The following is a 26,374-nucleotide window of genomic DNA, read 5'->3' as shown; positions in this document are numbered from 1 at the left end:
CCCCTGACTTTGGACAACAGGTAAAATCTAGATCAGCAGAGATGGAAGAAACACATTAATAACAGGCAAAAGATTTGTACAAAATGCAGCAGCAGCAAACCTAGAGAAACGAATGGATGAGAAAAGAGAGGGAAGCATCTTTCTCTCTGTGCAGGGAGCTAGTTTTTCAGTTATCTCAGATAAGCTGCCAAATAACTGTAAAAGATAGTAAGATCCCTTCCATCTACAATGAGAAAACTGAGGTTTAAGGAGGATGGAATTTGTCCAGGGTCACGAAACTCCTATAATGTACTTCTACCAACAACTCTATACTGAACAAAGTGGAATTTGTCTTTGAGTAGAAGAATGTTTGATTTAATAGAAAGAGCTCCTCTAGATTCATCTAGAACATTTTGTTTCCCCAAAATATGGCCCACACATTGCCTGGAGCACTGCTGAAATGCAGATTCCTAGGCCCCACAAGCGAATTAGAATCTCACAGAGGGCATGGAGGGGTGGGTAGACAAGAAATTTGAATTTTTATTATAAAGGATAAAATAAGCCTAATCATAGAATTACTTATTTTTTTCAGATAAGGACTTACAGACTACAACATTTTAAAAAATCCTTATTTGCAAAAAATATAAGTATAAATAGTCCTGGAAGGTTTTAAATTGTATTTCATTTTGCTTTTTAACACAAAAGGCACAATAATCTAATTTTCCAGTTAATTTTTGCTAACGTTTAACTGGGCAGACACAGCCTTAGAGGTAGAATAAATCCAGATCTGAATCAAGCACAGATCTAGGGACCCGATCTTCTGGGTCCTCCTGGGCCAAGCCAGCTTAGCGATTCAGGTGACATAACAACCCATTGCAAAATGAAGTTCAATCCCCAGGCTCATCAATTTCCTAATTTTGTGTTTCTGTTTTTGAATGAGGTAGTTTTATGCCTCATATGACTATTTTAAACTTAGCCCCATGTAACCTGATGGATATGCTAGACAAGACATAGTGTGGTATTTCTACTGTGTATCTCCTTGCTTTGATGAAAAATGTATTGCCAGGTTGAAAAACTGGACACAAATCAGACTGAGGTTAAAGAGCGAAAAAGAAAGACCTTTTCATGTACTGTTTAAAAAAAAAAATAAAGAAAAAAGAAAAAACAGAAATCGACCTGCTATTTCCATCTCCAACACTATGATATGTAGTGAATGTAATACGAATACATTGATGATGGAATATGTTTTCCTTGGTGAATGGTTAATATTTCTCAGGTGAGTGGAAACAGGCTATTACTGCACTTGGGTTGCCTGTGCACCCTGTGGATAGGGTGGGCCCCTGTAATACTGCTTTATAATTATGATAAGTAAGTGATTTCAAATAATAATGTGCATTCTATCAAATAAAAGCATCGATTAATAAGGGCTCTGATGATTCTCTGGGGCTAAAAGACTTTTATTTAGAAAAAAATCCTCTTATTAGAAAAAAATATATAAAAAGAAAAAGGAAGCATTAGCTTATAGTCTTGGCTTGAAGGGTGGAAAGTATGCTTTGAAAACCTGTTGTGACCACATGCAGTATTCCTGAAAGACTTCACTTTAGGTGGCCACACTTTTAAATAAGCAATTGCAAAGAGTTACTTTTGAAGAGTTGTAGACTAGAGCCTTAATGTTAAACAAAAGTATTACATTTTTTAAAGGAAAGGGAAAAATATTCCCTTGTAGTATGATTCTGTATTTATAAAGCAATTATAAATTTGTATTAGAAACATTTTATTCAAACTTCAACTTTCCTGTTGATATTTTCTTTTGAAATGGAACAACAGAGTTAACCTTTGATTTATACTGGTTTGGCTCACAGAATAGCCAAATCTTGTGAGGTCTGATTTCCTATGGTAATAAATTTGAACTTTTACCACCAAAGGGTACAGGTTTTTCAGCTTTTTCAACTGGAATTACATGCTTTGTCCAAGTTTATCCTGAAAATAGTTGGCCCTCCTCTGCTTTACTTAAAAATTATCCTGGCCTTATGTTCCAAATTCCAATAATTTTTTGAGATGGAGGCAGCAGAGTGCAGTTGCTTAGACCACAGTCTTGGGATAAAAAAATCTTTAGTTTTTAACACGTTTTGCCATTTGCTAGTAGGGCACTTTATCCACTCTTTCATCAAATGTTTATCAAGGTCCTAGTATGTGCCAAAAAACTGTGTTTTGTATTAAGAACATAGGTAGACAAGCTTTTATGGATCTTATAATTATGACACAGTAAATGGTACGATATAATAAGGGGGATTCTACGAGACACAGGGCGATGTGAGAGCATTTTGAAAAAAGAAAAAAAAAAGTCTAGCTATAAAGGGATAGGGAAGGTTTCCCAGAAGAAGTGGCACTTGTGATGAGACACAGATGAAAAATAGGGGTTAGTGAAGGAAGATCTTTAAAGAGAAAGAGTACTCCAGGCAGAGGGAATGCAAATGACAAGGCTAGGAGGCAAGAAAAGACTTGGGTTGGAAACTGAAAAGAAAAATCACTATACTTAGCCAAAGGGTATATATTTGGAGGATAGAAGGAAGAGTCAGAGTTAGATATGAAGAGGAAATATGAGAAACCATCAAAATTGTGATAAAGAGATTTTAATTTACCCCAAGAGTGCTCAGGAGCCACAGTCATATTTTGGAAACCTTAGTGTGGATAAGACTTGCTTTCCAAACTGAGCAACAGATGGATGGTATCACCATTCATTGCTAGAAAGAACACTGAGCAAAAGCATGGAGTGAGCCAAGAGTGTTCTTCTGGATATGTTGAGATTGGGGGTACCTGTGGAGTAAGTAGAGGCATCTAGTGCACAGTAGTAGAATCACAGGGGTCTAGAAAAGTCAATGGGCGATGGGGGCTTGAGGTGTATGCTTGGGAGTTACCAATACCAAGTAATTGACTTAGAAGTGAGTGAGTTCTCCCAGGGAGAATGCCTACAACAAGGAAGAAAAGGGTCCAGAAAGAATGTTGGAAGTACCAACTAATTCCTTTAAGTTTCAGATTTCGTAAATGCCTGGCTATTGAGAGGATTAAGAGAAAGGCTATATAGAAAACAATTAACACAGCACCTAGCACATAGTAAGAGTTCAACAATGGTAGATATGGATTTACTAGTTCACTCTTGCTAAGTGAAGATCATTTATGTGTTTTTAATTTCCATTTTCTACTATTCCTTGAAAAATATTTATTGAGTACACACAGAAAATGGGTATTTAAGGTATGTTTAATGACAGACTTTTTTTTTAGGTAATCAGGTTTGTAAATCTTAAAACTAGTGCTTCTTAAAAAAAAAAAAAAAGACTATTTAAACAGTAATTTAATGTCTCCTTCAAGCTGCATCCACAAACATGACAACAACTAGAGCTCTGATCTGAGTATTGCCCCTCCCCCACAGCAATTTTAATCCTGTTTTTGTGAGCATTTAAAATGATTATGCTCTCAAAACACTGGTTTTTCACTTATGTATTACTTTAGCATTTTTGAACACTTTAAATATTGTAGTTTATCAAAATGAAAACATCATGTTCAATAATAATAATGGAATCCTTAGAACCAAATGAACTCATAGAAATTATTACTGAATTTAATTACTCCTATTCTGACCTTTACATGTCATATATTTGTTTTAAAACAACTTACTAACAATATATAAATGAAAATAAAATACCTCTTCTGATTTTAGCTCCAACATTAAGCCTTAGATGTCATTTCTGTCCTTAAAACAACAAAAAGCTGAAAAACCTGAAATTCAATGACTTTTCTTCGATTCATTGGACAACTGAAGTCAGGGTAAACTGCTACCCCAAATCTGGAAAGACAGGTAAAAGCAGAGAATCACAGCTAAGACCTGCTTATTTGGAACAGAAGCTACTGTAGCCATAAACTGAGAGGGACCCTTTAATGGTAGTTTTGATGAATTGCTGGAGGCTGATTGTGGATGAGCATGAGAGGGAGAAACTGCTGGGGGTGCAGCCTTTGGGGAACCTCCATACTTTGGTGGGTTTTACCTCCAGAAACTTCACCAGTTTCTCACAGTGAGGAGGTAAGAAAGATTCCTTTGTGGCTCTGGCAGGGGAAGGGGAAGAGTTATCAAGAAATATACCCCAAATGTTCTCCCTAAAAAAAGATCTACTCTCCAGGTCAAAGACTTTACCAGAGCCCTGTCCCACCTGAGAGGACGGGCATTTTTCTCACCATAGTTTATACTAACCTTTCTTCCTCAACTAAGAGCATGGACAGCTAAAAAACACCTGCAAAAGTGTCAGCCCAGGCACACACGCCCACAAAAAGACTCAGATTTAATCATAAGTTTAGAGATCAAGTCTGCTTCCCCACTCCTTACCACCACAGAAGGACTCCTGTATGATATTGGTGAATGACAGCTGAAAGAGCTGCCAGACTTAGTCCTTTTGAGGGGGAATACTTAGGGAAACTCAGAGTCAACAGAAAAAACAAAAAGACACAAAAGGAATTTGAAGCTTCTGGCCCTACCACTAGAGCAAACATTAAACACAGCCCATCCTAGTGAGATTGACATAAATCCTCATACTAGAGGCCTATTTATCTCAGTTCCCATTACCTGATACATCATGCCAGGCTTTCACACACACAAAAATTCACAAATCATGCTAAAATGCAAGGAAAAGCACAGTCTGAAGAGACAAAACATGCATTAAAACCAGATTCAGATATGACACAAATCATACAATTATGAAACAAGAAATTTAAAATAACTATGATTAATATGGCTCTACTGGAAAAAAGTAAACAATATGGAAGGAGAGATGGGTAATGTAAACAGACGGATAAAAATTCTAACAGAGAATGAAAAAAATACTAGAAATAAATAAAAACTGTTACAGAAATGAAGAATACCTCTGTTGGGCTTATCAGTGGACTTGACACAGCTGAAGAAAGAATGAAAGAACTTGAGGATAGGTCAATAGAAATGTCGGTATTTCTCCTCCCCTGTGACAATTTTAATCTAGTTTTTGTGAGCATTTAAAATTATTATACTTTTAAAACACTGACTTTCTGAAACAACAATGCATAGCAAAAAGAGAATTTAAAAAAATCCAAGAACTCTGGGAAATTTCAAAAAGTGTTACATGTAATTGGAATACCAGAAGAAGAAAGAGAGTACAGGGCAAAAGAAATATTTCAAATAATAATGGCCAAGACAAAATTCATGACAGAAACCAAACCACTGATCCAGGAAGCTCAGAGAGTACCAAAGAGGATCAATCTCCCCTCACCCAAAACCAAACTCATACCTCAATATATCAGATTCAAACTGCAACATACCAAAGACAAAGAGGAAATGTAGACAGAACAAGAAGAAAACAACAAGCATCTCTGCTATAGAGGGCTAAGGAGAAGAATTGCAGTTACAGTGGACTTCTTGTCAGAAACAATGCAAGCAGTAAGAATATGCAGTGAAATATTTAAAGTATTGAAAGAAAACATCACAATCTAGATAATCTCTTCAAAGGTAATGGTGAAATAAAGTCCTTCTCAAACAAATAAAACTGAACAAATTAATTGTGAGCAGAATTGCTCTGCAAGAAATGTTAAAAGAAGAAAGAACCAAAATCAATATCTGAGCTTCAACTTTAGGACACTAAAGAGAGAAAAATAATTTAATTCAAAATAAGCAGAAGAAAATAAATAATAAAAATTAGGGCAGAAATCAATGAAATTCAAAATAGGAAAACTATGGAGAAAATAAACAGAACTAAAATATGATTGAAAAGATTGATAGACTTGATAAACCTCTAATCAGCCTAAGCAAGAAAAGTGAGAGAAAACACACATTATCAATATCAAAAATGAAGGAAGAGTTAATCATTGTTGTTCCCACAAACATTGAAAGGATAATAAAGTAGTACTATGAACAACTCTATGTCCATAATTTCATAATTTACCTGAAATGGATCAATTCATTGAAAGACACAAAACTGCCAAGGAGAAATAGTTAATCTCCGTAGATTGATATATATTAAATAATCAGTTATTAATAACCTTACAAAAAATAAAGCACAGACCAAATGGTTTCACTGGTAAATTCTACCAAGCATGTAAGCAACAAATGATAGCAATTCTCCATAATCTTTTTCAGAAAACTGAAGCATAAATAACACTCCCTAATTCATTCTATGAAGCTAGCATTAGCCTAATACCAAAACCAAATAAAAACATTACAAAAAGGAAAACAACAGAGCAATATAGCTAATGAACATAAATGCAAAAATTCTCAACAAAATATTAGCAAATCAAATCCAACAATGCTTAAAAATTACACACCAAGATCAAGTGGAATTTAATTCAGGTATGGAAGGCTGAATTGATATTTAAGAATCAATCAATGTAATCCACAAAATCAACAGGCTAAATAGGAAAAAATCATATTATATCAACTGATGAAGAAAATGCATTTGAAAAATCATACACCCATTAATAACTCTCAGCAAACTGGGAATAGAAAAAAACTTCTCCAACTTGATAAAAAAAACTACAAAAAAAATCTATAGCTGACATCATACTTAATGGTGGGAAAGCAGATGTTTTTTTCCTTAAGATTGAGAAGAAATCCTAGGAAGTATCCTTTTTCACCAATCCTATTGAATAATATATAGGAAGTCCTACCTGCTGCTAAGACAAGAAGCAGAAATAAAGGATATATATTATATAGATTGGGAAGGTAGAAACAAAATTGTATTTCTTCACGATGACATAATTATCAATGTAGAAAATCTCCCAAATTAGCAAAACACAAAACAAAAACCCTAGAGTTAAAAAGCAAATATACCAAAGTCATACGATACAAGGTTAATATACAAAAGTCAATTGCTTTACTTATTTCAGCAATAAGCAATTGGAATTAGAAATTTAAAACAATACCATTTATAATCGAAGCTGAAAAATAGTTTGGTGTAGATCCAACAAAATTGTAAAGGTTCTAAATGCAGAAAACTACAAAACTCTGATGAAAGAAATTAAATAGGATCTAAGTAAGTAAATAAGGAGATATTCTACGTCCATGGGTTGGAAACTCAATATCATTAAGGTGTCAATCCTTCCCAACTTAATCTATTGATTCAATGTTACCTCAACCAAAATCCCAGGAAAGTACTCTGTGGTGTTTAAAAATTGATTCCAAAAAAGACCTAGAATAGGAAACACAATACTGAAGAGGAAGAATAAAGTTTGAGGACAGACACTTCCCAATTGCAAGATTTACTGTAAAGCTACAGTAATTTAACCAGTGTTGTATTGTAAAACAATACATGCATAAATAAACTGATCAGAATTTAGAGTCCAGAAGTATACCCACACTAGTATAGTCAACTGATTGTTGACAAAGGAGAAAAGGCACTTCAATGAAGAAAGGATAGATCATCTTTTCAACAAATAGTGCATAAATCACTGGATATCCATGTATGAAAATTTAATCTAGACACAGACCTAACACCTTTGAGATAGCGAAAATTAACTTCAAATGGATATTAGACCTACATTTAAAATTAAAAATTAGGAGAAAATCTAAGTGACCGTGATTTGAATGATGAGCTTTTGGATACAACATCATAAAAGAAAAATTAATAAATTGGACTTCATTGAAATGAAAAGCTTTTGCTCTGTGAGGAGGGGAAACTGTTAAGAGAATGAAAGACAAGCCACAGTCTGGGAGAAAATATTTGCGAAACCCATATCTGAATAAGGACTTATATCCATAATATACAAAGAACTCTTAAAACTCAACAGTAAGAAAACAAAAGCCAACTAAAAATCAGCAAAAGATCTAAACAGACACTTTACCAAAGAAGACATGCAGATGACAAACAAGCATTTGAGATGTTCCATATGGTCATTAGGGAATTGAAAATTTAAACAGTAATGAGATACAAAACCTGAAAAAAACTGATAATACCAATTTTTGGCTAGAAAGTGGAGCAATGGAAACATTCATTACTGGTAGAAAAGCAAAATAATTTAGCCACTTTGGAAGACATTTTGGTACATTCTTATCTAGCAATCACATTCCTAGGTGTTTATCCAACATTTGAAAATTTTTTCCACTTAAAAACCTGCCTGTGAATGTATATCACAGCTTTGTTCATAATCACAAAAAATGGGAAACAAATTATTTTATTCATGTCTCTACTGAAGTAGCTCAACTGAAGTAGACGCATGGATAAAATAATTTGATACATCCACACAATGAAATATTATACAATGATAAAAAGTTGTGCTATGAAGTCATGGAAAAACTTGAATGAATCTTAAATCCATATTGCTAACTGAAAGAAGCTAGTCTGAAAATGTTACATAATATATGATTCCAATTTTATGATCTTTTGGAAAGGGCAAATTTATAAAGATAGCAAAAAGATCAGTGGTTGTCAGGAGTTTGGGGAGGTTGGAGGGAGGGGTGAATAGGACAAGAACAGAGGACTTTTGAAGGTAGGTAAACTATTTTGTATGACATGCTATGATAGATATATAACATGCATTTGCCAAAACCTATAGAAATTTACTGTGCAAAGAATGAACTTTAATGCATGCAAAATCTTAAAAAATAATTTAAGAGTTCAGGGAATCTCAGGATAGAATGCAGAATGTGACAAAACAATTTAACTGTATTAGGAATGTACAAAACAATCTCACTGGAGGGATTGAGGGAGAGTGGTGCTAACTTAAGTAACTGTAAAATAGTGAAGTCTATAAGCTAAAGGCAAAAGAAACTGTATATAAGACTGTGCTGTAGTCGATGAAGTTTTTTTCCATAGGCTATGAGTTAAACATTCTGATACTGGTACACATGTAGACTGGGATTAAACAATTATGTAAATAGGTGGCTGAGGCTAGGAGCCAGTTTTCTCACTATTGAGTAAGAGGATATGGACAAGCAAAGACAGGAGTCTAGAACGATCCATGTGGTAATGGATTAGAGTCTGAGACATTAATATAAACTCATGTTTAGCTCAGTATAGATACCCATGGGTACATACAGAAATATTTATAGATATGTGCATATACATGGGTTAGTATACACATATGTATTTCCTTGCTTCTTAGCTGAAAGGGCTTAGAAGCAATGATGACACATCAGTAACAATGAGCACAATTATCCAGACCTTGGTTTCTAATAACATTCTCTGATAAAAAAGACCTGAGTTCCTCAGAGAAATAATTTTTTCTAGGACTGGAGTAGAGATTATAAAAGATGAGCCTGAAGCATCTGTTAATACCAGAATGTAAAAACTCCCCACCCATAATTATGAGGGTATGTCAAAGGAACACAGTAGTCAACTAAAAGAGCTCCCAATGGCCAAAGAGGGAAAATTTGAAGAACAAAACAAATTGAGTAATATTGGATTATAATCCAAAGTATACAATAAATATCCATGTGTCCATAATGTTGTGAATAAATGTTAAATAAATAAATAAGAAAATAGACAAATCTCCCATGCAGAAGGGTTCTAAATAATTCATGGAAATACTCAACCATCAAAGAGGTAGAGCATAACTCCCCTCTCCTTGGGTGTGGGTTGGGCATAGTGACTTTCCTACAGAGTAAAGTATGAAAAGAGGTGAAAGAGTAAACTTTCCAGTGGAGAAAGCTGACAAATGCTACCTCAGCCAGGTGATCAATATCAACATCAGCATCCTAAATCATATTGATCATATGTATCCTTGATATGATGTAATGGCATTTTACCTCTGTGGTCTTTCTCTCCGAAACACATAATTCCAGTCTAATTAAGAGAAAAACACCAGACAAATCCCAAATGAAGTGCATGCTACAAAATAGCAGACCTAGTACTCCTTGAAACTTGTCAAGATTATCAAATCAAAGAAAGTCTGAGAAACTGTTTCAACCAAGAGGAGCTTAAGGAGACATAATGACTGAATGCAGTCTCAGTATCTTTGATGTGATCTTGGAACAGAAAAAGAATATTAGGCAAAAACTAAGAAAAATCTGAACAAAGTGTGGACTTTAGTAGACAAATAATTTATCAACATAGATTTATCAGTTACAACAAATGTACCATACTAATTAATTATAATGTGTTTAATAACAAGGGAAACTTGGTTTTGGGTTATATGGGAACTCTGTACACTAGCTTCACAATTTTTCTGTAAATCTAAAACTTTTAAAACAAAAACTTTTTTGAAAAATTAGTTTGGGAGGCCAAGGCAGAAGGATCACTTGAGGCCAGGAGTTTGAGACCAGCCTGGGCAACATAGTGAGACCCTGTCTCTACAAAAAAAATTTAAAAATTAGCTGGGTGTGGTGGTGTGCACCTGTAGTACTAGCTACTCAATAGGCTGACAAGGAGGATCACTTGAACCCAGGAATTCAAGGTTATAGTGAGCTATGATTACGCCACTTGCACTCCAGCCTGGGTGACAGAGTGAGATCTTGTCTCTAAAATAATAATGATAATAATAAAACATGAAAATTATGTAGCATTAAAATATTTTAACATATTAAAATATATTAAAAGCTGACTCTACATTATCAACATGGCAAAATTAGTTATACTTATTCATATTAGATATTGAAATATAACATATATTTAACTCAGTAATAGACTCAACAGATTCAGTTTCTTAACTCTAGACATTCTACCCTGGCTCCATGTATTTTACAGATTATTTGGAGAAATGAAATTCGTTTCATGTGTCACTGCTTATACAAGTGTGTGTGTGTGTGTGTGTGTGTGTGTGTGTGTGTGTATATATACATATATATATATTTATTTATTTAATTTATTTATTATTTTGAGACGGAGTCTCGCTCTTTCGCCCAGGTTGGAGTGCAGTGGCACGATCTCAGCTCACTGAAAGCTCCGCCTCCCGGGTTCCCGCCATTCTCCTGCCTCAGCCTCCCGAGTAGCTGGAACTACAGGCACCCGCCACCGCGCCTGGCTAATTTTTTGTATTTTTAGTAGAGACGGGGTTTCACCGTGTTAGCCAGGATGGTCTCAAACTCCTGACCTCGTGATCCGCCTGCCTCGCCTCCCAAAGTGCTGGATTACAGGCGTGAGCCACCGCGCCCTGCCACAAGTAAGTATATTTTGATCTGTTATTTTGCGAGGTACTTTTAGTCTAAATTTTATTGACTATAGTCACAATAATTTCTTGAAGTAGTTTCATCTTCTTATTTGTCTTTTCAGGAGGGTAAGGAAACTGAAATATGACAAGGTTAAATGATTCAGATGAGGGGCCGGAAAGCACGCCTCCCGAGACCCATTCCTGGAAGCGGGTCTTTAAAGCTGCTCTCAGTTTAAAATCAACCAAATGCTCAGATATCAGGTAGAAAAATAAATAATTCAGTCAAATGCTTGGCTCGTTACTGACTTGACATCATATATTTAGGTACTTTTTGGGGAAGGCTCATTTGTTACATCAAAATATTTTTGTCACTTGGAAATGTGCTGGGAAAATGAAAAAAACTGTCTTCATTCTGAGGGAATGAATGTGTATTAGTTTTCGTGGCTAGAAAGAATGTGCTCCTAATTTAGTGAAAAAAATCCGTTTAATGTCATTTCCATGGAGAATTAACAATAACATTTTATGTGAGCCTAGGAGAAAAGTAAGAAAAAAACACTTCTATTTACTCAGGCTTTCGTAGAATGACAGATGAAACGTGTCGGAGGAATATTTAGTTTGTAGCGGATGTAGATTCAAAATTAGCAACGTGAAGAATACTCCATTTGTAGACAAATTTCACTGGTAAATGAAAATTAAATATTTTAACACAGGCATTAGAGGTAGAAAGAGGAGTACAGTACATAATCGAATCGCTTGCATTTCCCCTCCTCTATACCTGCATTCTCACTGGATAATCACTGCTTTTTCAGCTAGTTTACCCTCCAAAAGAGGAACATCTGTTAATTTTGCCTGGTCAACATCTATTCTCTCTTCTTTTGGTAGAAACACTGATTTTTGCTTGAGAGATCATCTGCTGTCTCTCCAACTCTATTTGAGGTGCAGCTTTATGCACCCATCATCTCTGGGGGTGTGTATATAATCTAAGCCTAGAAAACCACTTCATCCAAACCCTCAGTTGTTGCTTTAAGGATGGGCATGTGACTAGTTGATAAATCAGAGAAAATCTTGAGATTTTTGCTAAAATTAATGTAAAGGAGAAATTCTCTCTTTATTCTGACCTGTTGAACTGGTGGGATGGGTTCTAGGTACTATCTCACCACCTTGATAAGAAAGCCTACCTGAAAGGAAGACCAACCAGACACAAACCAAAGTTGAGATGTAGAGACAAGAAAGGAGATAGATAAAGAGAGTAATTTCTGAACACCTAGATAAAGCTGTACTCAAAGCTTTACCATTTGGGGGGTTTTTCAATTATAGGAGCCAACAATTTCCCAATTTTACTTTAATCTGAATTAGTTTTCTGTCACTTAAACTGAATTGGTCCTAATTGATAATCATCTTTCTTTTTTGCTAGCTATCTGAATTTTTATTCATCTTTGGAGATTTATTTGAGGACAATGAGTCCATAAGCCTTCCTAGGCCATCCTATCCCAGAGACCTCTTCCTCCTCAGAACTCTAATGCATTAGGGTGTTTTCTCACTCATTTGGCTTAGTGATGCCTCTTGCATTGTGAACGCATTGAAATTATTGATGCTTCATTTGCTGTAGCTCTTCGCTGTAGCAGAGTTGTGCTGTTGACGTTGATGTTGAAAATTAATCAATTTTCGCCAGGTGCAGTGGCTCACGCCTGTAATCCCAGTACTTTGGGAGGCCGAGGCAGGTGGATCATGAGGTCAGGAGATCGAGACCATCCTGGCTAACAGAGTGAAACCCTGTCTCTGCTGAACAAAACCCCAAAAAATTAGCCGGGCATGGTGGCAAGCGCCTGTAGTCCCAGCTACTCGGGAGGCGGAGGCAGGAGAATCTCTTGAACCTGGGAGGTGGAGGTTGCGGTGAGCCGAGATTGCACCACTGCGCTCCAGCCTGGGAGACAGAGCAAGACTCTGTCTCAAAAAAAAGAAAAAAAAAAAAGAAAAGAAAAATATTCAATTTTCTCCATGTGCATGACTCATCTATCAAGAAGATGCTGAGCTCCCAGAGGACAATGTTGTCCCCGAACACCATGCCCCTTACCCCACCTCAAATCTCTAAGAGTTTAGAGTTTATTGACTAAGTTTTCTCAAATCCATGTGCAAAAATCAAAGGTGAGTTCCCTTTATTACATAAGTATATAATTTTTCCTAGTAACGTAAAATTTTGTAAGGGCTCAGTTTTTTTATAGTCTGCCTTCCTTAGTTCGCAAGTGAAGAAATCATATCTTTAGAACCTATAAGAAATTAGTGAAGGCAAAGGGGAACTGACATGTTTTGATTACTCACAATATTCTAAACAACATCCTTGGGACTTTAACTATATTTACTTGGCTTTTTCTTCCCAGTAGTCCTGCCAATTCTTATTATTCCTATTTTCAAAAAATGAGGAAATGAACTCAGAGAGGTTAATGAATTAGTCTAAGATCACATCCAAGTAAATGTATACTAAAGTAAATGTATTCTTTTGTCTTTGTATTCCCGCCATCTAGCACAGTCTCCGGCATTTAAAGAGCACTCACAAAATATTAAGCAAATAAAGGAATGAGTGAATGAACAAATGGCAGATTAAAGTTCCAACTCTCCATCATACCATGCCACCTTAAAACAGGAACATAGCCAAAATAATTTCAAATACTTTTGTCTTTTTTTTAAATTACACTGAATCATTTAGGATTCTCCATGTGGAAATGTTGGTATTTCTAGATTTCAACAGCACAATTCTGCTACAGAGATGAGCCACAGCAAATGAAGCATCCTGGTTAAGTGCTAAGACTTTTAGTTTAGAAGAAAATCTGGATACAAATCCTATTTACTCACTCCATGCCCTTGGACGAGTTCCCTATGTCTCAGATTACTCATAAATAAAATTGGGACAATGACAGTATCTTCCTTGCAATATTGTTATACAGATTAAATAAAATTATGCCTCACACAGCATAATAATCTTTTAATAAGATTGTTTACTGTTATTACTGTAATATTTTCTTGTAAAGTCTAAACCAATATTCTCATGGCCATAAAGAGTTGATAATATAGAGGCTATTACATTTTTCAGTATTTTTTAACAACTTAGGTGTGATTTTGAATATTAAGAAAAACACAGAAATATCACTTATTACTAGATCAACAGATATTCACAGGAGAACTCTCATAACTAAAAGTAACCAATATTACAACAAAATCAAGCTTTTCACATGTAAGGCACTTTCATAACCATAAAGAAGTTAATAGCCTCATTATCCATCTAGTTACTGAAGTCAGAAACTGGAAATCTGAAACATACACAACCTTGCACATGTCCACGTCAGTAAATGCCTTCATCTCTCTTACTTAACACTTCCAATTAATTACCAAATCTGCTAATTATATATCCAAAAGTATCAAATGCATTTTCTTATCTCTATCATCTTTGCCACTGATTTTCTGAAGTCTTCAATAGCTCTAATATGGAAATTTTTGCTGTATGCTAAGTGCCAGATTAAGGAGGCTTTAATTAGGGTTGAAGGTTTGGAAATAGCAAGAAGTGACTAGGTTTTGAAGATGTTTTGACAGTGGAGCCAACAGGCCCTGCTAATAGATTGGATGTGGAATTACTAGAGAAAGAGAAGAGTTGTGGAAGCCTCTGAAACTTTTGGTTGGAACAAGGGTTGCTTGGTGGTTCCTGTCCTGAGATGGAGACACATCTAGAGGGGCAAGTCAGGTGGCTGGGCGCAAAGCACCAACTCCAAGACACACGAGAATTTCAACTAGGATTATTGGTTTGCAAACAATAAGAAAAGCTGAATGACCAGGGCAAAGGCAGAACAAACACTAGTGCAGCTCTGGAGTCTTAGTAAGGTGGTCATGGACAGACCTCTGGGCACTGCCATGTGAAAAATTCAGCACCAGGACATTGTGATTGACAGTCCCGCCAAATAAGAATAAGAATTAGGATGAAAAGGCCGGGCGCGGTGGCTCACGCCTGTAATCCCAGCACTTTGGGAGGCTGAGGTGGGCAGATCATGAGGTCAGGAGTTCGAGACCAGCCTGACCAGCATGGTGAAACCCCGTCTCTACTAAAAATACAAAAAATTAGCCGGGCATGGTGGCACGCACCTGTAGTCCCAGCTACTTGCGAGACTGAGGCAGGAGAACTGCTTGAACCCGGCAGGTGGAGGTTGCAGTGAGCCGAGGTTGTGCCACTGCACTCCAGCCTGGGCGACAAAGTGAGATTCCATCTCAAAAAAAAAAAAAAAAAAAAAAAGAAAAGAAAAAAAGGATTAGGATGAAAAAATGGAAATAGGTAACACTTATTAAGAACTTCCTAAGGGCCAGGCACCTTTCCAAGAGTTTCTGTGTATGATCTATTTAATTTTCCAACAAGTCTGTGAGAGAGGCATTGCCTTTATTTCCACTTCACAGGTGGGGAAATTAAGTTACCCAAATTGCACAGTAAGTGGAATGGGGATTTGAGCCCAGGTAATCTGACTGCAAAATCATACATAAGCTTAACCCTTATGCTACATATCTCTGGGATCTAGATGGAGCAGAGTAGACGATTAAATTGCAGGAACAGAAAGGAAAGGAAGGCTGGGATGACAACCACAGATGCCCATTACAGAAAGCACTTAAGGTAGCAGCCACGTTTTGGGATAAGTCTATGCTGTGTGCCCTCCAGGATCTGGAGCAGGACCTGATTTTTGAGCCTTTGACAGCCCTTGGGAGCCATTTTGAGGGCTCAGGAAAGTGAATCTGAAATTTCTGTTTGTTTCTGTGGCAGCTGATAAACCCAGCTATGTAAAGATAAGAATTTTCCGTTTTCTGCTTTTAACAGAAAAGTAACACATTTATGGGTGTGAAAGTGCTTTGCATTTTAGAAAAAAAAAGTCATACTATGAAAATAGAAAATTTATTTTTCTTTATTTTGTTAAAAAAATCATTACATTCAGAACTTGCACTCATGGGTTTCTCCCACATATTTTGCAGTGGTGGAGGAGACATTTCTTGCAATAAGGTCATTGCTAGGGCACTTTTTTTAAATGAATCACTTCTAATAGACTTTGCTTTGACTTTCGAGCTGGTAGATGTGTAGTTGAGGTGTCTGCATGTACCTGAGAGTTAACATATGAGTACAGAGCTATGTGAGAACCCTACTAATCTATAAGTTATCTGATTCTCAGTTTCATTATTTTCCCAAAAATGTTTGCAAAAAGTATGAGGAATTATGAAATACAGAGCCTTATGTCAATGTCCCTCATTTCTAGGGCCCGGCCCTTAATCTTTACATTTTACCTGGAGCTAGGAGCCCTGATTAGAAGATAAGAGGGTCTGGAGAGCACAGTGCGGGGTGGTGATGCTTGACTGAATAGCTCACATCAAAGGGCAGCTTTATTCCCAAGTGCGAAAGACAGAATCACAGAGCTCTGCGGGACTCTGAAGTGTTGCTAGGTGATGACCCAGCCTTTATTGGAAATACTCATACGTACCGAACCTTTGTTCCAGCTTCTACTCAAGGTCATATTTTTACATGTTAATAGAATAAACCAAACTTTAGGTGACCGGTTTGGAAAGACTATTACCAATTCTTACATAATCAATTCCAAATTAATTGATCATAATCCAATGAAGTATTTAAAGTATCTCTAAATACATAAATACTACATCAACTATTCTTAGGCTAGGATTTTCATTGCCAACATTATTTTCTGGAGGTGTATTAGTCATTCATTCATAATTCAGACTACCAAGGAAACATCAAATGCATTAAATCAATTAAACTACCACATATTGAAGCATCAGAACATCATATTCAAGATGTATACAAATTCAGGCTCTAACTATAATTATATTTGTATATTTGTAGTCTGAAATACATACATAGGTGACATAGGTGCATATACAACAAAGTGAAAAAAAATCACCAAATATGAAGTGAAATAGACCTGGGTTCACTAATCTGGTGCTACTGTTAACATACAATGTAACCTGGAGAAAGTTATCTGACATCTCTGAGCTTCATTTGCTTCACTTAAAAAATAGGGAAAATAATAAAAATAGCTAAAAATATTGAGCAATTATCACTAGGTGAGATCAGGATAAGTGTTTCAGAGGCATAATCTCATTTAATTCTCAAAACAACTTTATGAGAAGTAATATTATTATCCTTCCTTTGCAGATGCGGAAACTGAGGCACAGGGAATTTGAACAACTTGCTCAAGGTCATAAAGCTAGAAGGAGGCACAGCCAAGCATGGGCTTGTGTGACCTCAAAGCCTATGTTCTCGCCACTGCTCTAAACTGTTTATTCTGTTGGCTTGTCATAATGATTGAAGACAATGTATATAAATCACAGAGGGTAGGACTCAGCTTGTAATATGTCCTCCATACATTTTATCGAACATTATTAATTAATAAACAACAGATAAATAACAACAGTGCTTTGTTTGATTAAATTATATATATGATTATATTTCTTCAGTGAAATTGTTGGTTATGCATTTCTTACAAATAATTCACAAATATTAATGAATGTCTGTGTTGCAGCAGGCATTTTGCTCACCACGGTGGACCTGGGGGTATGTGAAATAGGCACCATCTCTGCTCTCACAAATTTAATACGTGCAGGCTGCTGGATTGGACTAAAGTCCTGAGGAGAACTATAACAATCTCTTAGAGGGAACAGTGATTAAACAGGGATCAATTGTGCCACCCATATAGCCTTCCTACTTACTGATCAAGAATGATAGCAGACCTTAGCAAGTGCAAATCAACAAGAGGAATCCAATGGTGCTATTCACTACTATGAAGCTTTTCATTTTGCCTCTTACTAAGATTTCAAAGCTATTCTTGCCCCCCACCCCACACAAAAACAAATACTGTGCAATCTCACTTACATGTGGAATCTGAAAAAGTTGAACTCGTAGAAGCAGAGAGTACAATAGTGGGTGCCATGGGCTGGGGGTGGAGGAAATGGGAGATGATAGTCAAGGGTACAAACTTTCAGTTATAAGATGAACAAGTTCTGGGGCTCTAATGTACACGATGGGTGGTGATGAATGTTTTAATTAATTTGATTATTGTAAGAATTACACAATGTATACATTTATCTAATCATCATATTATATACCTTGAATATATTTGACCTTTATTTCCCAATTAAATATTTTAAAATAAAATATATTTAAATTTAAAAAATATTTTTGCAAATTGTATAAATACCCATGTATCATTTCCATTTTCATTCAACCTGTAAATAAGCTTCCTCAGAAGTTTTATATTTCTAAAAATTTGAATTTGGGTTTCTTTGGCTCAAAGCACTAGCATCTCTCCTAAGCAATCCTACTCTGAAGGCTATCTTTATGTTTAGGATCCTAGCCTATGATTAAAAAAAAAAACCAACCAAAAAAATCTCTCCAAGATGTCATTATTATAGCTAATCGTTAATGTGTATCCCTCCCACCCCACCCAATTTATCCAGCAGCTTCTCTTTTTTGTCAGATGTCAGATAGATTCCAAAAGCTAAATCTGTCCTCTGGGCAGGCGAACAATTATACTGCCTATTGCCTCTTCTTCCTTTCGTTATTCTGTCACCAATTATGCTGTCCACAAGGGACTCTATCACATGAGGGTCTGTTAGCAAGAGCTCAAATACATGTAGCAGCTGTCTATTTGCAAATACAGAATGCCATGAACACATGGTACAGAAGGATGCTTACTTTTATATGCTTTTATCTTCTCATTTACATTAGATTATCCACTATCCTTTTCCCTTTCAAATACTCCATATATGGTAAATAGCTTTATTTTTCTTTTCTACTAAACTCCACTGCAATAGAAATAACTAAAATGTTAAAAAGTATCTCAGATAGCCAAGTCATCACAGAAGAAAAAACAGCTCAAGCTTTCAGTAGCAATAGAGATGATATTAATCATAATAGCAGCAAAATGAGCAAGTGTTTAGTTGTTACTACATTCCAGGCACTTGCCTGGTAACTTTATGGATAGTCCCTCATTTATTATTCATAATTACCACATGACATGGTAGAGGTCATTACCTATGCTCTTTATAAGGTTCCTAGGTGGCATACTTGTGGTTTAAACCCAAACTGCCTGACTCTGCTTCCCTCCAACTTTACACTGAGAATGAGGGAGAAGAGTAAGGTGGGATGAAAGGCAGGGGGAAAAGTGGACAGAGAGAAGAGAGAGAAATAATAGAGCAGAACATCCTCAATCCTCTTTTATTTTAATTGTTATCATAAATTGACAAATTATAGTTGTATTTATTTATGGGATAAAAAGTGATGTTATGATTTTTGAATACAATGTGGAAAGATTAAGATTAATGTCTCTATCACCTCATATATTTGCGATTTCTTGGTGATGAGAACATTAGAAGAAATTTACTCTCGGTGGTACTAAAATGTACAGAACTCAATGATTAGCTATATTCACTATGCTGTGCAATTGATCTAAAAATAAATTAAACTTATTCCTCCTGAAACTTTGTACCCTTCAACTATTACCTCCCTACTCCTTTCACTCCCCCGCCTCTGTAGCCACCATTCTACCCCCTGCTTCTATGAGTTCGATTGTTTTAGGCTCGATATAGATGTATAAGAGGTATTTGTCTTTCTGTGTTTGGCTAATTTCACTTAGCATAATGGTCTCCAATTCCATTCATGTTGTCACAAATGACAGAATTTCTTCTTTCTTTTAAGGCTGAATAGTATATATACTGTATTTTCTTCTTAATTCATTAAACAAATGTCTATTGAGCATCTAGCACTGGCTGGGCATACCATCTACTTGTAACATAAGTTCCTTGCCTTAGAGAGGCACGCTTGGCTTAGAGAAATACAATCTCCAGCCAACAAGCAGTCTCCACCTTAAGGACAATAATCAATATGTGCCAAAGTGCTGAGAACACTCAATTGTGCTAATTTGTCCAATTGTGCTGAGAACACAGGGAGAGGGTGGGGCCCTGTCAAGGGAACTGGGGGAGGTTTCCCAGATAAGGTGTCTTTGAGCAGGAATGTAAGCAAAGCGTGAGTGTTCTCAAGCTGACTGAGGGTGGAAAGTTACAGGAGGCGGAGGTCACAGCAGGGTAACATAACAGTGTGGCAGATGGAGGGTGCCCAGGGGGACTGAGTGCTTCAGCAGCTGCAGAGGAGGATACATGAGGAAGATTTTGAGAAGTAAGAGCAGAAAGGCAGGTAGTTTGACAGCATGTTGGAATGGACATTAGGAGAGGCGGTAAGGAAGGCAGAGTGGGGGCAGGTGAGGAAATATGAGACGGGTCTGCCAATGCAAGTGACCACTTCATGCAGCACGATATTTGAGGTTATCATAAGCCATTGAATCATGTGCATTGTTTTGTTCAGTGCTTTTTGTTCTGACTGTGGATTATCCTAATTTTGATGGAAAGAAGAGAAATACATACAAAGGTAAGGGTGGACCTAAATCAGAGCTTTGGGGTCTAGGAAATGAAAGTATAGCCTGAGAAAACTAGGAGCTTGGGTGGAGAGGGAGCAAAAGCATTTCTGAGCTGGAGACTGCTATTAAAATACAAGGCAGGTGGCATAGAGACAGGTGGGCTATTCAATTGTACACCAGGCATCCCTGGGGCTGGATATCAGGCAAAAGACCAAAGGATGAGATGAGAAGACAAAATGATGCCATCATTATTTCTGTCTTTAAAAGTAATCAAATGGGCCGGGTGCAGTGGCCCATGCTTGTAATCCCGGCACTTTGGGAGGCCGAAGAGGGTGGATCACTTGAGGTCAGGAGTTTGAGACTAGCCTGGCCAACATGGTGAAACACTGTCACTACTAAAAATACAAAAATTAGCCGGGTGTGATGGAGTGTGCCTGTATTCCAAGTTACTTGGGAGGCTGAGGCAGGAGAATTGCTTGAACCCAGGAGACGGAGGTTGCAGTAAGCCAAGATCCCACCACTGCACTCCAGTCTGGGTGACAGAGAGAGATTCTGTCTCAAAAACAAAACAAAACAAAACAAAAAACCCAAAAACTAAAACTAAAAACAAAATAGTGAAATGCTTCAAATGGGAACAAAAAGCACATTTGAACTGACAATATATCAATCACCACAACACAGTCTGAGAAAATATTTTGATGGCCAAGCACAACTAAATATTATTGGGACTTGGGATGCTATTACATTGTTCCTTGGATTAATAATCTTCTTTTGTGTAGAAAGGTGTGTCTTGTCAGTCAAGCTTTTCTTGATCTGCCCGCATAAGGGTAAAATAGACCACAACATATGTCTTTAAACTGTCAGATCTGGACTCTGCCTGTAATCTCTCCCCATAGATAAATGGGATTTCAAAAAAGGGAAAGAACCCTTTGTATCCTAAATTTGTCAAGAAATTCTTGTCAAGAATATACCTCTACCATGGTACTTATAATATAGCAGCAAAAAGAAAAACAAAACAAAACAAAAACAAAACAAGCTTTTATTTGGTGTTCTCTGGGACAAAGTTTCTAGTGGAATAATAGAGTCGAAAGATACTGCTTATGACAACTTAGATGTTGTGCAGTCATCATTAAATCAACAGAGCAAGTTTTTACTTCGAGGTTGCCATCTCCTACTTCTCTGTTGCTATAGATTATCATTTCCAGGGCATACACTTCAAATAGGAAAGCAGTGGCCAGGAACAATGGGGTAGAGATAAAGCTAGCAATGCAGGTTTCCAGGCAGACCTCTTGGAGTACAGTAAAATCTCCAAAGCCATGTTAAAGCTCAGTGTGGAGAGTCCAGACTTGCGTGTCATACAGACCTGGGGTCCAGTCTCAGCTTTGTATTGTAATAATTCTAGGACATAATATGCACAAAGCACTTGGCCCAATGCCTGGCACACAGTAGACACTCAATGAATAGAAGCTGCTATTGCTGCAAAATTATTTTTTGGTGCATGAAAAGGAAAAGCCAGAGTCCAAATATGGCAGAGCTCCTCACTTCAAAGGCATAAACATTCCTTTCAAATGTAAATCCTTCTGCCAACTTCTTATGAATATTTAGGGCCTAAAACTTATCTAAAACGATCACTAGTACAATAAGGTAGTATTTTATATGTAATTTTCCCGGACTGTCCCCTTTTTCCTGATTATTATTTATAAGGTAATATAAAATGTAAGAGATTAATAAATAGATACTGTAGATTTTTGGTCTTACCATTTTTGTCTGCTCTCCTCAGTATCTGGAAAGGAAAAAGGAAAAAATTTTATCAGCATTTTAGATAAATATTGCAACGAACGTTACACTTACACATAATTTATTCATAATTAAATAAAATACATTCTAATTTTAAGTAAGCGTTTCCCAATTGAGATCTTTCTTTATAATATCTAAAACCTGAAAATGACCCAAATGTCCATGGATAAACAAACCGTGAATGAACAAACCAACTGTGGTATAGCCATACAATAGAATACTACTGAGCAATAAAAATGAATGAGCTATTTATACACACAACAACTTGGATAGAACCAAAAATAACTAGGCTGAGTAGAAAACCTAGATGCAAAATAATACCTACTTATAATTCCATTTATATAAAATTCTTAAAAATGCAAACTAATCTATAGGGACAGAAAACAGATTAAGCTTCCTAGGAATGGGCAGGGCAGGGGAGGGTGGATTACAAGAGGATGTAAGAAAACTTTTGCAGGTGATAGAGATAGTTATTATCTTGAATGTGGTAATGGTTTCATATATGTTAAAACTCATCAAGTTTACACTTTACATATGTGCACATTAATGTAAGTCAATCATACCTCAATAAAACTGGGATTCAACAAAACATAAAAGAAAAATAATACATCATGGGTAAAGAGTAACCACATGTCTATGCTATATCTACTTTATTTATACTTTATTAATCATATTATCTTGGACGTATTTTAAATTGTCTTGATGTATAAGAACTATTTGGCCATCCGGTATCCATTACTCTTTAGTAATGATTTCTAATGTTCTTCTGGAAAGCCTACATTTCCTACATGCTTGGCCTAGGTGCTCCAGTGTTGGGCAGGGCACTTATGTCTGACAAACACGGTGTCATATCCCTCTGGTCACGGTGACTGCTCAGGGATGAGCACATTAGGGCCAGTGAATGACAGGTCATGGTTTTGCCTGAGTGGTTAGGAGAGAGACATACTCTTCTTTCTGCTGACTTTGAACCTAGGAATATATAGGCAATGCACTGCTGTCATTCGTTTTGTTATTGGATATATTGTAGGTTGAATTGTGTCCTCCAAAACCAAATGTTGAAATCCTAATGCTCAGTATCCACGAATGTAACTTTATCTGGAAATAGGGGTTTGGGAGGAAAAGACTTTGATAAAATCCAACCTTCCTTCATGATAAAAACTCTGAACAAACTAGGCATTGAAGGAACATACCTCAAAATAATAAGAGCCATCTATGCCAAACCCACAGCCAACATCACACTAAACAGGCAAAAGCTGGAAGCATCTCCTTGAATGCTAGAACTAGAACTGGAACTGGAACAAGACAAGGACGCCCACTCTCACCACTCCTATTCAACATAGTACTGGAAGTCCTTGCCAGAGCAATCAGGCAAGAGAAAGAAATAAAAGGCATCCAAATAGCAAAATAAGAAGCCAAATGGTCTCTCTTCACTGACGATATAATCTTATACCTAGAAAACTCAAAGACTCCACCAAAAGCCTCCTGGGACTGATAAACGACTTCAATAAAGTTTCAGGATATAAAATAAAGGTACAAAACTCAGTAGCATATCTATGCAGCAATAGCATTCAATCTGAGAGACAAATCAAGAATGCAATCCCATTTACAATAGCTACACAAAAAATAAAATACCTAGGAATACATTTAACCAAAGAAGTGAAAGACTTCCACAAGGAGAACTACAAAACACTGCTGAAAGAAATCATAGATGACAGAAACAAATGGGGAAACATTCCATGCTCAAGAATTGGAAGAATCAATATTGTTAAAATGGCCATACTACCCAAAGCAATGTATACATTCAATACTATTCCTATCAAACTACCAATGTCATTTTTTACAGAATTAGAAAAAACTGTTCTAAAATTCATATGGAACCAAAATGGAGCCTGAATAGCCAAAGCAATTCTAAACAAAAAGAACAAAGCTGGAAGCATCACATTACTTGACTTCAAACTATACAGTAAGGCTACAGTAGACAAAACAGCATGGTACTGGTACAAAAAACAGATACAAAAATGAAACAGAATAGAGAACCCAGCAATAAAGCTGTACACTTACAGCCAGCTGATCTTCAACAAAATCAACAAAAATAAATAATGGGGAAAGGATTCCCTATTCAATAAATGGTGCTGGGATAGCTAGTAGGTCATATGCAGAAGAATGAAACTGGAGCACTATCTAATACTATAGACAAAAATTAACTCAAGATGGATTAAAAATTTCGATATAAGACCTCACACTATAAAAATCCTATAAGAAAACCTAGAAAATATCATTCTTGACATTGAGAAAAAATTGGCCTTGAGAAAAAAGTTATAACTAAGTTCTCAAAAGGAATTGCAACAAAAACAAAAATTGACAAGTGGGACCTAATTAAACTAAAGAGCTGGAGCACAGGAAAATGAACTATCAACAGAGTAAACAGAGAATCTAAAGAATGGGAGAAAATATTCACCAACTATGTATTCAACATATTACTAATATACAGAATCTGTAAAAATTATATTTCAAAAAACAAAAAAGAACCCCATTAAGAAGTGGGCAAAAGACATGAACAGACACTTCTCAAAAGAAGACATACAAGTGGCCAACAAACATACGAAAAAATGCTCAACATCACTAATCATCAGAGAAATGCAAATCAAAACCACAATATGCTATCATCTCACACCAGTCAGAATGGCTATTATCAGAAAGTCAAAAAAAACACAACCACATTCTGGAGCTGCTGCAGAGAAAAGGGAATGCCTATATACAGTTGGTGGGGATGTAAATTAGTCTAGCCTATGGAAAGCAGTTTGGAGATTTCTCAGAGAACTTAAAACAGAACTACCATTTGACTCTGCAATCCCGTTACTGAGTATATATTCAAAAGTAAATAAATCATTGTACCAAAAAGACACATGGCACTCGTATATTCATTGCAGCATTATTCACAATAGCAAAAATACTAAATCAACTTAAGTGCCCATCAGTGGTCAATTGGATAAAGAAAATGTGGTACATATACATCATGGAATACTACACAGCCATAAAAAAGAACAAGATAATGTCCTTTGCAGTGACATGGATGCAACTGGAGGCCATTATCCTGAGTGAATTAATGCAGAAGCAGAAAACCAAACACTGCATATTCTCACTTATAAGTGGGAGCTAAACATTGGGTACACATGAACATAAAGATGGCAGCAACATACACTGGGGACTAATAGAGGGAAGAGGGAGGTTGGGGAGAAGAGTTGAAACACTAACTGTTGAGTATTATGCTCACTACCTGGGTGATGGAATCATTTGTACCCCAAATCTCGCCATCATGTGATACACCCACGTAACAAACCTGCACATATTCCTCCTGAATCTAAAATAAAACTTTAAGTTATAAAAAGAAAAGAAATAGGGTTTGCTGATGTAATCCCATTAAGATAAAATATAACTGGATTGGGTGGTCCCTAAGTCCAATGACTGGGCATCTTACAAGGAGAGAAATTCAGAGATGCAGAGATAGAGGATAGAGACCACATGATCAAAGAGTCAGGTATTGGCGTGGTGCAGCTGAAAGCCAAGGATGCCAAAGTACTGACAGGTGCCATCAGAAGCAAGAGAGGAAGTATGATACAGTTCCCCCTCTGGAGCCTTCCCAGGGAGCATCATCCTGCTAGCAGCTTGATTTCGCCCTTCTCACCTCCAGAACTGTGGAGGGTACATTCTATTGTGATAGTTTGTTAGAGCAGCCCTAGGAAACTAATACAATATATAACCTGGAAAGAACCAACACCCAGGAAAGTAGTTTTCAGAGACTTAGGGAAACTGGGTCCAGATAGCACTCCTTGAGTCTCTGATTAAGTAATCTTGATGAGATGATCTCTGCTTTTTCATTACAGGAGCCAATACATTATTTTTTAAAACAATCTTAAAACAGTTTGCATTATTTTTCCTGCTAGCTGCAATGAAGTTAACCCTGATAGATATGCTAATAGAAAATAATCTGGATAACATACTACAGAGCTATGTTATATACAGTACCAAAGAGGATGCCCCACTAGCACATTGCAAAG

General features: G+C 36.5%; 1 protein-coding gene and 1 long non-coding RNA gene across 3 annotated transcripts in view; one reads left to right on the top strand and one right to left on the bottom strand.

The window, feature by feature from the left end:
* Positions 1-17,519, top strand: part of LOC105375635 (uncharacterized) — a 52,864-nt gene extending 35,345 nt beyond the window's left edge. The window contains exons 2-4 of the long non-coding RNA NR_188048.1: positions 10,833-11,088; positions 11,199-11,337; positions 17,264-17,519. This is a non-coding gene — a long non-coding RNA (uncharacterized LOC105375635). The remainder of the gene's footprint in view (positions 1-10,832; positions 11,089-11,198; positions 11,338-17,263) is intronic.
* NECAB1 (N-terminal EF-hand calcium binding protein 1) overlaps positions 1-26,374 on the bottom strand; it is a 167,619-nt gene that overhangs the window by 135,401 nt on the left and 5,844 nt on the right. For both annotated transcript variants that reach the window (NM_022351.5, XM_011517213.3), the window contains exon 2: positions 22,278-22,302. In NM_022351.5, coding sequence (NP_071746.1) covers positions 22,278-22,302 — 25 coding nt within the window. The remainder of the gene's footprint in view (positions 1-22,277; positions 22,303-26,374) is intronic.

Source organism: Homo sapiens, chromosome 8 (genome assembly GCF_000001405.40).
Source record: "Homo sapiens chromosome 8, GRCh38.p14 Primary Assembly".
Lineage (NCBI taxonomy): Eukaryota > Metazoa > Chordata > Mammalia > Primates > Hominidae > Homo > Homo sapiens.
The sequence above is the reverse complement of the archived record's forward strand: the minus strand, read 5'-3'. Positions and strand labels throughout refer to the sequence as shown.